Genomic DNA, 13321 nt, shown 5'->3' with positions numbered 1-13321 from the left:
CCTGAGTAGCTGGGATTACAGGCAGGTACCACTATGCCTGGCTAATTTTGTATTTTTAGTAGAGACGGGGTTTCTCCATGTTGGTCAGGCTGGTCTCAAACTCCCGACCTCAGGTGATCTGCCCACCTCAGCCTCCCAAAGTGCTGAAATTACAGGTGTGAGCCATGAAGCCTGGCCAAGAAACACCCCTTTTGTCTTTCCTTTCAGAATACCGTATCTGTTTGCCATCACCACAGATCTCTCTGGGTCAAGACACCCTGGTTGCACTCCCGACTTGCTTCCCATGACAGTCTATGTATACTTATATATACACACACGCAAGCATATTATAATTTTCATGAATCTTTTGAGAGTAAGTCATACGCAGGTTGCCCTTTTGTTCCTGAGTATTTCATTCCTAAATACAAAGATACTTTCTTTCATAATCACAATATAATGATCAAGAAATTAGGATTGGCCAGGCGCGGTGGCTCATGCCTGTAATCCCAGCACTTTGGGAGGCCGAGGCGGGCGGATTACGGGGTCAGGAGCTCGAGACCATCCTGGCTAACGTGGTAAAACCCCGTCTCTACTAGAAATACAAAAAATTAGCCGGGTGTGGTGGCGGGCGCCTGTAGTCCCAGCTGCTTGGGAGGCTGAAGCAGAAGAATGGCATGAACCCAGGAGGCGGAGCTTGCAGTGAGCTGAGATCGCGCCATTGCACTCCAGCCTGGGTGACAGAGTGAGACTCCATCTCAAAAAAAAAAAAGAAAAAAAAAGAAATTAGGATTGCTATAACATTATTATCTAATTTCATGTATCATCCAAATTCTCCCAAGTCCCATTAATGTCCTTTAGAATAAGATAAACTTGTTTTTTTCTGGTCCCAGAACTAATCCAGAATCATATTTGAATTTAGTTGTCATGTCTCTTGTTTCCTTTATTCTGGAGCCAGTTTCTCAGTCACTGCCTTTCACAACTGACTTTTTTTTTTTTTTTTTTTGAGACAGATTCTCACTGTGTCACCTAGGCTGGAGTGCAGTGGTGTGATCTTGGCTCACTGCAACTCAGCCTCCTGGGTTGGAGCAATTCTCCTGCCTCAGCCTTCCGAGTAGCTGGGATTACAGGTGTGAGCCACAATGCCCGGCTAATTTTTGTATTTTTAGTAGAGACGGGGTTTTGCCATGTTGGCCAGGCTGGTGTTGAACTCCTGACCTCAGGTGATTCACCCACCTTGGCCTCCCAGAGTGCTGGGATTACAGGCATGAGGCACCGTGGCCGGCCCTGTTGCGGGAAGTCAGGGGCCCCAAATGGAGGGACCGGCTGAAGCCATGGCAGAAGAACGTGGATTGTGAAGATTTTATGGACATTTATTAGTTCCCCAAATTAATACTTTTATAATTTCTTGTGCCTGTCTTTACTGCAATCTCTAAACATAAATTGTGACAATTTCATGGACACTTATCACTTCCCCAATCAATACCGTTGTGATTTTCTATGCCTGTCTTTACTTTAATCTCTTAATCCTGTCAGCTGAGGAGGATGTATGTCACCTCAGGACCCTGTAATAATTGCATTAACTGCACAAATTATACAGCATGTGTGTTTGAACAATATGAAATCTGGGCACCTTGAAAAAAGAACAGGATAACAGCAATTGTTCAGGGATTAAGAGAGATAACCTTAAACTCTGACTGCTGGTGAGCCAGGCAGAACAGAGCCATATTTCTCTTCTTTCAAAAGCAAATGGGAGAAATATTGCTGAATTCTTTTTCTCAGCAAGGAACATCCCTGGGAAAGAGAATACGCACCTGGGGGTATAGGTCTATAGACGGCCCCCCTGGGTGTGCCCATCTTTTATGGCCTGTAGACTGTAGGGGTGAAATAGACCCCAGTCTCCCATAGCGCTCCCAGGCTTATTAGGAAGAAGAAACTCCCGCCTAATAATTTTGGTCAGACTGGTTGCTCTCAAAACCCTGTCTCCTGATAAGATGTTATCAGTGACACTGGTGCCTGAAACTTCATTAGCAAATTTAATTTCACCCCAGTCCTGTGGTCCTGTGATCTCGCCCTGCCTCCACTTGCCTTGTGATATTCTATTACTTTGTGAAGTACTTGATGTCTGTGACCCACACCTATTCACACACTCCCTCCCCTTTTGAAAATCCCTAATAAAAACTTGGTGGTTTTTGCAGCTCGTGGGGCATCACGGAACCTACCGACATGTGATGTCTCCCCCGGTCGCCCAGCTTTAAAATTTCTCTCTTTTGTACTCTGTCCCTTTATTTCTCAAGCTGGCCGATGCTTAGGGAAAGTAGAAAAGAACCTATGTGACTATCGGGGCAGGTTCCCCAATACGGCCCACAACTGACTTTTTTTTTTTTTTTTTTTGAGACGGAGTCTTGCTCTGTCATCCAGGCTGGAGTGCAGTGGTGCAATCTTGGCTGACAGCAAGCTCTGCCTCCCGGGTTCACACCATTCTCCTGCCTCAGCCTCTCAAGTAGCTGTGACTACAGTTGCCTGCCACCATGCCCAGCTAATTTTTTGTATTTTTTTTAGTAGAGACGGGGTTTCACTGTGTTAGCCAGGACGGTCTCGATCTCCTGACCTCATGATATGCCCACCTCGGCCTCCCAAAGTGCTGGGATTACAGGCATGAGCCACTGTGCCTGGCCACAACTGGGATTTTTTAAGAATGCTGGCCTGCTGTGTTGTAGAATGTCTATTAAATTGGGTTTGTTGATGGTTTTTTATTATTTCATAGATTCAATTTGGTAGAAATATACAGAAATGATGTACTAGCATGATTCATGGATTCCTATTTTGTGGGTTACAATCCATTACTACTATCAGGGCTGGCTGCGTAATTTGTGGGGCCCAGCACAAATGAAAATGCAGGGCCCTGGGTGGGGACAAGGAAGCCAATTTCCTCTTCTCATAAACTGGCTGTTCCAGTCAATGCAAATGGACAATGCCCAGGGAACTGTACCTTCCATGCTGGTTTGTTCTCAGTTGTTGGATGGCACTGGTAAGAGGCCCCAGCTGAATGGCCTGCAGAATGTGCTGTGCTACTGTCAGATTAGGGAGGGGACAGCTGCCTTCTTGATCACCCCATGGTGCTATGAAAGTTGCAGTTACAGGATAAAGTCCACTTTACTCAGACCCAGACAAATTGGAGCTAGGAGAGCACAAAGGAGAGGAGCTCATGCTTGCATGTCTACAGCTAAAAGCTGTTTCCAGGCAATAACCCACAAGAAATTCTCTCATGTCCTTCATGCATCTTATGCTTTGCACGGCTTGCATGTTTCACACACATGCACGTATTTCTTTGACACAATTTCTTACTAGACATTTTTTAGGACTGCAGCAATTCAGATAAGATGATCTCAAAAGAAGGCTTGCCTGATAATGGCTTCTCTACCAGTGATCTACTAGTAACTCTGGCTTTGAGCCTCTGGTACCAATAAACTGTTTCTAAGTAGCTTACATGAACTTCTCTGTTGTACCGATAAAGGCTTCCCTTTACCCTCCCCTCTCTGGATGCATTTGTGGCTTGCTATAACTGTGCATCCCAGGTTATAATCCTTTTTGCTTACTCCCAGATAAAATAATTATATTATGAAATATTTTTTTCTGATGTCTTTTTTTTAGGTTGACAGTGCCCTGGGATATGGGCCCAACCCTGAACCCTCCTGCACCTATCCATACCTAGGTTTCTGCCAGGGTGGAAGGTGATGACAAAACGTGGGCCTCCCCTAGCCAAGGTGACCCAGTCACTGCTCTGAAGCAAGGCAGGGAATGCAAAGCTGGGCAGGGACCATGGGACCGGCGGTAGGGAATAGGCAGCAGCAGGCCTCAGACCCACATGTCATCAGAGGCTCCAGGCTCTCAGCATGCTCCATTGTGCCAAAAAAAAAGCAAAATTATAGTCTAATTAAAAATAAATAAGTCTTTAACTGAGGAATAGTCCTCCCTCAGGATGGATCCTGTGTCCTTTGCATGTCACTGTCATTTTCTGAGCACTCTTTTACTTTCTGGCTCATCTTTTTCCTTCCCAGACCAAGTTTTGTTTTTCTTTGTTTTTTTGTTTTTGAGATGGAGTCTTGCTCTATTGCCCAAGCTGGAGTGCAGTGGCACGATCTAGGCATCTAGGCTCACTGGAACCTCTGCCTCCCGGGTTCAAGTGATTCTCATGCCTCAGCCTCCCGAGTAGCTGGGACCACAGGCATGTGCCACCACGCCCAGCTAATTTTTGTATTTTTAGTAGAGACGGGTTTTCACCCTGTTGGCCAGGCTGGTCTGGAACTCCAGACTGCCCACCTCGGCCTCCCAAAGTGCTGGGCTTACAGGTGTGAGCCACCGCGTCAGGCCCCACACCAAGTTTTGAATCAAGAAGTACTGGGGCTGGGCACGGTGGCTCACACCTGTAATCCCAGCACTTTGGGAGGCCAAGGTGGTTGGATCCCAAGGTCAGGAGTTCGAGACCAGCCTGGCCAACATGGTGGAACCCCGTCTCTACTAAAAATACAAAAACAACTGGGCATGGTGGCGGGTGCCTGTGGTCCCAGCTACTCGAGAGGCTGAGGCAGGAGTATCGCTTGAAACCGGAAGGCGGAGGTTGCAGTGAGCCGAGGTCACACCGCTGCACTCTAGCCTGGGTGAAAGAGTGAAACTCTATCTCAAAAAAAAAAAAAAAGTATTGGTTCTTTTAAAAAAAAAAAATTGAAGCAAAATCTGCATCACAAAAAATTAGTCTTGGCCATTTTAAAGTGTACAATTCTGTGACATTTTGTACATTCACAATGTTGTGCAAATACCACTTCTATCTAGTTCCAAGACAGTTTCATCACCTCAGAAGGAAACCTCGTGTGCAATAAGCAGTCAACACCTCATTTCTCCCTCTCCCTAGCCTCTGGAAACCACTAGTCTGCTTTCTGTCTCTATGGATTTACCTGCTGTGGATGTTTCATATAAGTGGAATTATACAATATGTGACCTTCTGTGTTTGACTTCTTTCACTTAGTGTAATGTTTTTGAAGTTCATCCACGTTGTAACATGTATCAATACTTTATTCCTCTTTATGGCTGAATAAAATCCCATTATATGGATGTGCCACATTTTGTTTATTCATTCCTTGGTGGCCATTTGTCTCCAGTTCTGGGCTGTTGTAAATAATGCTGCTATGAACACTTATGTACAAGTATTAAATATTTGTTTGGATGCTTGTTTTCAGTTCTTTTAGGCATAGTTCTAGGAATAGGCTTGCTAGGTCATCTGTTTAACTTTTTGAAGACTCACCAAACTTTTTCAAAGTGATTGCACTATTTTACATTCCCAGTTTCTCCATGTCCTTGCCAAATCACCCTTCTTTCCTCCCTCCCTTTCCTTCTCCTTCCTTCTTTCTCTTTCTCTTGCTTTTTCTTTCTTTCCAACCTAGTGAGTTTGAAGTGGCAGCTCATTGTGATTTTGATTCACATTTTCTTAATGACTAATGACATTAAACATCTTTTCATTTGAAGTTGGCCATTTTTATGTCTTTTTTGGAGAAATGTATATTCAATTGTATTCATATGCCCACTTTTTAATTGGATTATGTCTTTTTGTTGTTGAGTAGTTACAGCTCTTTATATATTCTGATACTATAATTTTATCAGATATATATGATTTGCAAATATTTTCTCTCATTCTGTAGGTTGTGTTTTCACTCTGTTGATAGTGTGCTTTTATGCACCATTTACAAAAAATTTGGTGAAGTCTAATTAATCTACTCTTTTCTTCTGTTGCTTGTGCTTTTGGTGTCAAATCTAAGAAATATCATTGCCAAACCCAGGGTCATAAAGATTGATGCCTATGTTTTCCTCTAAAAGTTTTAGAGTTTTAGTTCTTATATTCAGCTATTTGATTCATTTTGAGTTAATTTTTGTGTATCATGTAATTTTATATATGGTATTGGTAAGAGTCCAATTCCTTATTCTTCTTCCTTTTTTTTTTTTTTTTTTTTTTTTCGGAGACAGGGTTTTGTTCTGTTGCCCAGGCTGGTGTGTAGTGGCACGATCTTGGCTCACTGCAACCTCCGCTTCCTGGGCTCAAGCGATCCTCCCATCTCAGCTTCCCGAGTAGTTGGGACTACAGGTGCAAGCCACCACGTCTGGCTAATTTTTCTATTTTTAGTAGAGACAGGGTTTCACCATGTTGCCCAGTTGGGTCTGGAATTCCTGAGCTCAAGGGCTCTACCTATGTTGGCCTCCCAAAGTATTGAAATTACAGGCGTGAGCTACCGCGCCAGGCCTCAGTTTCATTCTTTTGCATGTAGATATCCAGTTCTCCCAGTACCATTTGCTGAGGAAACTTCTTTCTCCATTGAAAGATCTTGACTATAGATGCATAATTTTATTTCTAGACTCTCAAGCCTATTCCACTTATCTATATGTCTTTATATCAATACCATAGGTTTTTTTTTTAATTACTATACCTTTGTAGTACATTTTGAAATCAGGAAGCATGAACTTTTTAAATTTTTGGGTCCTTTGCAATTTCATATGCATTTTAGCATACACTTTTCCATTTCTTCAAAAATGTTGTTGAATCTGTAGCTCTATCTGGGGAATATAGCCATCTTCACAATATTATGTGTTTGATTCCATGAACATTAAATGTATTTTCTTTTCTTTTTTTTTTATCTGAGAAGTTTCACTCATCACCCAAGCTGGAGTGCAGTTGCACGATCTCGGCTTACTGCAACCTCCACCTCCCGGGTTCAAGCAATTCTCCCGCTTCAACCACCCGAGTAGCTGGGATTACAGGCACCCACCACCACGCCCGGCTAAATTTTGTATTTTTAGTAGAGACGGGTTTCGCCAAGTTGGCCAGGCTGGTCTCAAACTCCTGACCTCAGGTAATCCACCCGCCTCAGCCTCCCAAAGTGCTGGGATTACAAGCGTGAGCCACCGCGCCTGGCCATGTCTTTTCATTTATTTAGATTTTCTTTTTTTTTCAGTAGTGGTTTGTGGTTTTCAATGTATAAATCCTGCACCTTCTTGGTTAAATTTATGCCTAGGTATTTTATTCTTTTTGATATTATTGTAAATGGAACTTTTAAAGTTTCCTTTTCAATTGTTCATTTCTAATACATTGAAATGCAACTGATTTTTATGTGTTGATCTAGTATCTTGCATCTTTGCTTATTTCATTTATTAGCACTAATAGATTTTTTATTTAGGATTTTCCATATATAATATTATGTAATTGGTTCCTTTTGTTGGAAAGGGATATTAAGAAATCAACATCCAGGTGCTAAGTGTACTCGTAGCTACTTTGATATAATTGCTTCTAGGACCTCTTAGCAGACAGAGCTAGATAATACATACATATACACATACATATATCTATATTTATTTATTAAAATCCATGAATTCTTACTGATTCCATCCACTTTAATTCTATTAGGAAAACTGGAGGCAGAACTCTCCATGTTGCAAGTAGCAGTGTCAGAAAAGCCCCAGTGTGGGAAGCAAGAGGTATACTGTGATCGATTCTGTGGCTGCAGTAAGAAGTGGCGTAGAGATGACTTTGAACTGACACACGAGATGTGTTCAGTGTACTTAGTTTCTGTAATAACACTCTCCTTGTTTTCTTCCTACCTCTCTGGATACTCTTTTTTTGGATTCCTTTTTGAACTTCCATTGCTCATGCCTTAAATGCTGGGTGTTCATCTGGGTTCTGTAACAAGCCTATTGCCCTCTCAGCTCACTTTCTAGATTAGCTCATTGATTCTAATGCCTTCCAGTACCTTTTGGGTAATAGCTACAGCACATGTTTTCTGTGCTTCAGATAGGCCTGTTTGACTACATACTAAACAGCTTCACTTGGATATTCTGTTGGTGCTAGTGTGTCAAAATGGAAATGTCCTAAACTCATCACTATGGCCTATTTCACCCTTCCTCCTGGTTGCAACTAGGTTTTCTTCCTGTTGCTTAATGGTTTCTTGTTGCCCAAACCAGAAACTGGGCATCCCCATGGACTACTGCCTCTCTTTCACACCCCTACATCCCAGTCCTCTTGATTCACTCTCCTAAATATGTCAAATATGTCCATTCATCTCCATCCTTATGGCCACTGCCGTAATCAGATCGCTATTATCCCTCACTTGGATTACAGCGTGCTAATTGACCTCTCAGACCCATTCTTAGAACCATTAAAAACTTGAGTTCTGAGTTTTAGGCCTGGCTGTGCCACTTATTAGCTGCATGATCTTGGTCAGACTGCTTAATCGCTTTAGGACTCAGTTTCCTCATCTGTAATACAGAGGTAAGAATAGTACCTACTTCATAAAGTAGTTGTAAGACACGTATGAGGTGATGTAGTCAAAACTATTAGCATATTGGCTGACTCATAGTAAATGATCAAGAAATGTTAGTTATGATCATGATCATCATTGCAGGGTTATTCACCGCACAGCCTCTGTTATTTCTCCATTTTCTTTTCTGATTGCTTTCAGTCTTTCAGCTTTTCTGAACCTCTTCCTGTTGCTCCAGTGTTGAATGCTATCTTTTGCTTCCAGGCCTTCCCTCTGCTCCATTTTCCTGGAATTCTCTTCTCCCTTGCCCCTTGCCCTCATTCATTCTAAGTTTATCCTTAACTTTCTCTTGATTTGGTGTCATTTATCTGTGCTCCAATAACACTCTTTAACTTCCTTTATTGAGGCTCTTATCTCACTACTGGAGTTGCCTACTTATTCGATGGTCTCTCAAGTAAGTCCTGACGTCAGGGACCAGTTTACCTTGTTTACTAATAGGGTGCCTGACTTGATGAATGAGTGAATGAATGGGTGATGAATGGGCCATAGCACCATCCTAGGTTTTCTGATCTCCTGTCTGGTATACTCCTGGTGAGAGCCTTGCCTGGCCACAGGAGTGGGGAAAGCTGAAGGCAGGCTTTCCCTGTGCCATATCAGCCATTAGCAATTACTACATTATTGGTTTCCCAGATTTTAGCTGATCAGTGATTCCCAGGACTATTCCTCTGGACATGAACATGAGGCTACCTTTTCCCTTTTTTTTTTTTTTTTTTTTTTTTTTTTTTTTTGAAACAGAGTCTCGCTCGGTCGCCCAGGCTGGAGTGCAGTGGCGCCATCTCGGCTCATTGCAACCTCCACCTCTCGGGTTCAAGCGATTCTCCTGCCCTCAGCCTCCTAAGTAGCTGAGACTACAGGCGCGTGCCACGACGCCCTGCTAATTTTTTGTATTTTTAGTAGAGACGGGGTTTCACCGTGTTAGCCAGGATGGTCTCGATCTCCTGACTTCGTGATCTGCCGGCCTCGGGCTCCCAAAGTGCTGGGATTACAGGCGTGAGCCACCTAACCCGGCCTTTTTCTCTCTTAACCTCACCAACAGTCTGATGGCCCTTCTCTCACACGGGAAGAGCTCTTGAAGTTATCAACCTGTTAGGACATTTGTTATCTCTAAACCCGAGTTTACTGTGTTATGTTTGCCTGGAAATGTTATATCAAATGTATGAAATTGCCAACTGTTTGTAATTTCATATGGTTCATCCTATATGTGATTTTGTAAATTGGACCCACCTGAGAAGCTAACTGCTGTAATGCCAACTGTGAGTAGCTACAGACTGGAAAGGTGATGGAGTTGACCGGGTGGGCCTGCGACAGCTGGAATTTGCGGTGGAGGTAGACACAAGTCAGCGAGACGGCTTAGAAGGCAGAAGGGAAGCTGAACTAAGGCTTCTCAACATTTTACTCTGCTTAGAAGTGGAAACATTTGGTTCAAAGGGCCTTTGCCTTAGACTCCATAGGGACAGGCCCAAGGGCTGCTGTTCACACCTCCTGGCCACTGAGAGGGATGAACTTGGCTGCCTCTGAGTGGGAACCACGAGGTCTGACCCCCTACGCAGTCCCAGGTTCACTACCCCGCAGGCCGGAGCGACACCGTTGGCGCTGGGAGAAGAGAGCCGCTGGGTGGCAGCAAAGGCGCGCAGGTTTCTTCCGACAGAGGCGGTTCCTTAACATACTGTAGTTTTCTTCTTTTTAAACTCATTGCTCTAACACTCTTAGAAATTTACAGTGGTTTTATATTCTTGAATTACACAGTGTGAGCAGAGACTCCGTTTGCCATTTCCTCCCGGAATTACATTGATTTTTTTCCTGCGAAATTTTTTACTTATTTTTCTCCCATGTTATTTCCAGGAATCCTGGGCATTCCCTTGCCCCGGAAACGCCGTGTCCAGGCCGACCTAAGCCAGGAGCCGCAGGGGCGGGAAGCCGGGGGCAGGGCCGGGCCTGGGACGCCGCCTCAGGAGCCGCGCGGACTCGGGAACCTCGGGCGGGGCCGGCGTGAGTACGCCCGGCACCTCCGGCTGCTACGGTGGCGACCGCGAACTGATGCCGTGGAAAACACCCTTAGAACATGGCTTTTTGGGGAGGTGAATAGGGGAGAGTCCCCAAACGACACCTCGCCGCGCACCGGTCCTTGGTGCAGTTTGTAAATGTCCCTCCTGTGTCCCAAAACGAAAACACTCCTATATTTTGTAGCGCCTTCCAGAATGGGGCAGCGGAAACTAGTGTTGGGACAAAGGAGGCGAGCGGGGCCTTTTCGGGGCTCACAGAGGACCCCTCGGAGGCGCGGCCGCCGGGGAGAGCGCGACAGCACCCCGCCCCCCGCCAGCCGGGCGGGGGCCGCTCCCGAGGTGACAGGAGAAGGCGGGAGGTGGAGGAGAGAAGGTCCCGCCCCACCTCGCTCTCCTTTACGGGAAGTGATGTGGGGCCAGGCGGAAAATACCCGCCAACGACCCAAAAAAGGCCGGCGGCGGGTGGACGCGGCGCGCGAGGACCCGAGCCAGGCGGGGACAGGACGGCGGGGCGAGCCAGGTGAGGGGGCCTGAGGAGCGGGAGGCGCGCGGCGGGTCCGGTCCCTCCGGGAGGGCCGAGCGAGGCGTCCCCCTGGGGCCGTCCTAGGGCTGGGGTCCGAGTGCGCCGCCCTTCCTCCCCGCCTCCAGGCGCCCGAGCCCGCCTGAAGAGTGGCTTCTCTCCCAGGCCCTCAGCGCAGACCCCAGTGATGACAACTGCCTGGTGCTGGCCAGGTGCGGTCCCAGGTCCGGCCAGGGTCTCAGATCGCCTCCGGGTTGCATCCAGGTGGGAGGATGCCCATCAGGGGTAGGAAACTTTCCAGGAGGGAAAGGAGGAAAGTCCCCGACCTCCCGCACGCCCCCCGGTTCATTCCTCCCTCTTTTGCTTTCAGTTTAACTGTTTAACCTGGTTGCCCTCCGGTTGGTGAGGGTCTGGACTGCAGACTAGCTGCGAGGGAGGGGCTCTCTCTTCTCCTGTCAGTTAGACTGAAAACTACCTGGCAGCCAGGCCCTCCGGTCGGGACTGGTGGTGGTGCAGATATGATGACAGGCTTTGGTAACTATTGCCAAAGCCTGTCTCTGTCCCAATAGATCACCAGTTCAGCAAAGTCAGGCCTGAAGCGAAGGGAGTCTTGTGAGCCCTGGACTGAGGAGCCTTCCCAGCCTTTCCGCTCCTGCTGGCCACCTGGGCCCACATGGCCTCAGGGTCTTCTGCCACAGGGTCCTTACCCCTACAGCTTAACAGCTGTTCTTTCCTTCTGGATGGATTCTCACATTTTATGGTTGGTTGATCAGTCAGATGTTGGAATTGGGGGTAGAGGGATTATAGAGTTGTGTGTGCTATTTAAGTTTTCTGTAATCATTGCTAATTAAATTTGTTGATTCTCCACTCACTGTTCTTGTTCTTTTTTTTTTTTCGGCCTTAAAAACTTGCTTTAGAGGGAAAATACAATCTGGAAAACAGTTTCTGCAGATGGTTAGAAGTGAAGAAAGGTTAATATAATGCTGAAGGAACTTGACTGAGGATCATTATTTTCTGTATTTTATGTTGGTTTATGTTGTTTTATGTTTTCATTCCTACTTTTTTCTTCCTTCCTTTCTACCATTCTCTCTTCCTCCCTCCCTCCCTTTTTTCTTCCTTCCTTAATTTCTGTGACGTGCCTTGATTTTTAATTTCGTTGAAGTATATTTAATCTATTTTTCCTTTTTTTTCTTTTGAGACAGAGTCTCACTCTGTCGCCCAGGTAGGAATGCGGTGGCATGATCTTGGCTCACAGCAACCTCCGCTTCCTGGGTTGAAGTGATTCTTTTGCTTCAGACTCCAGAGTAGCTGGAATTACAGGTGTGTGCTACCATGCTTGGCTAATTTTTGTATTTTTAGTAGAGGCGGGGTTTTGCTATGTTGGCCAGGCTGGTCTTGAACTCCTGACCTCAAGTGATCAACCTGCGTCAGCCTCCCAAAGTGCTGGGATTATAGGCTTGAGCCACTGCACCGAGCCTATTTTTCCTTTTGTTGTTTGTGCTTTTGATGTCAAAGTTAAGAAAACATTGTCAAATTCAAGATCATGAAGATTTATACTTATGTTTTCTTCTAAAAGTTTTATAGTTTTTAGCTCTTACATTTCATTCTTTGACCCATTTTAAGTTAATTTTTAAATATGGTGTGAGGCAGGGGGTCTGACTTCAACTTTTTGCATGTGGATATCCAGTTCTTTCAGCACCATTTGTTTAAAAGACTGTTCCTCTTTGAATAGTTTTGGCACCTCTGTTGAGATAAATTGACCATGAATGTAAAGGTTTATTTCTGGACTGTCAGTTCTATTCCATTGATCTGTATGTCTGTCCTCAGGCTAGTATCATACTACCTTGATTATTGTAGCTACATAGTGTTTTGAAATCAGGATATGTGAGTCCTCCAACCTTGTTCTTTTTCAAGATTGTTTTGACTATCCAGTCCCTTGAATTTCCATATGAATTTTTTTTTTTTTTCGAGATGGAGTTTTGCTCTTATTTACCAGGCTGGAGTGCAATGGCACGATCTCAGCTCACTGCAACCTCCGCCTCCCTGGTTCAAGTGATTCTCCTGCCTCATCCTCCTGAGTAGCTGGGATTACGGGCATGTGCCACCATGCCTGGCTAATTTTATATTTTTAGTAGAGACAGGGTTTCTCCATGTTGGTCAGGCTGGTCTCGGACTCCCGATCTCAGGTGATCTGTCTGCCTCAGCCTCCCAAAGTGCTGTGATCATAGGCATGAGCCACCATGCCTGGCCTTCCACATGAAATTTAAAGTCAGCTTCTCAATTTCTATTGTTTTGGTTCTAAAATAGATGTAAGGGTTTTAAAGTGAGCAACAATCTCTAGGAGCCAGATTTTTGAGTTTTCTCTCCCAAAGCTGCTTTTCCCCTAGTCTTCTCCATCTTAGTGAATGGCAACTTCACTCTTCCAGATGCTCACACCAAACACCCTGAAATCACTCTTGATT

At 45.1% G+C, this 13321-nt stretch overlaps 1 protein-coding gene across 9 annotated transcripts in view, besides 2 other annotated features; it reads left to right on the top strand.

The window, feature by feature from the left end:
• The window catches only part of RAB27A (RAB27A, member RAS oncogene family), a 116158-nt gene that overhangs the window by 18549 nt on the left and 84288 nt on the right, over positions 1 to 13321 (top strand). For 6 of the 9 annotated variants that reach the window (NM_001438977.1, NM_183235.3, NM_001438975.1 and 3 more), the window contains exon 1: positions 10762 to 10859. The exons of 1 other annotated variant lie outside the window; for it this stretch is intronic. The gene's annotated coding sequence lies outside the window, so the exon portion shown is untranslated. Of the gene's footprint in view, positions 1 to 10761; positions 11124 to 13321 lie in introns of those variants that run through there. 2 more of the 9 variants (NM_001438973.1, NM_001438972.1) reach the window with 2 other exon arrangements.
• Positions 10295 to 10444: an enhancer, noted in NCBI's record as "active region_9440". NCBI's record gives its function as "activates an Ori minimal core promoter by ATAC-STARR-seq in GM12878 lymphoblastoid cells {active_cell/tissue: GM12878}" and the evidence as "EXISTENCE:reporter gene assay evidence [ECO:0000049][PMID:35858748]".
• Positions 10545 to 11074: a silencer, noted in NCBI's record as "silent region_6453". NCBI's record gives its function as "represses an Ori minimal core promoter by ATAC-STARR-seq in GM12878 lymphoblastoid cells {active_cell/tissue: GM12878}" and the evidence as "EXISTENCE:reporter gene assay evidence [ECO:0000049][PMID:35858748]".

This window comes from Homo sapiens, chromosome 15, assembly GCF_000001405.40.
Source record: "Homo sapiens chromosome 15, GRCh38.p14 Primary Assembly".
Classification (NCBI taxonomy): Eukaryota; Metazoa; Chordata; class Mammalia; order Primates; family Hominidae; genus Homo; species Homo sapiens.
Note: the sequence above shows the minus strand (reverse complement) of the source record. Positions and strands in the feature narration are given on the sequence as shown.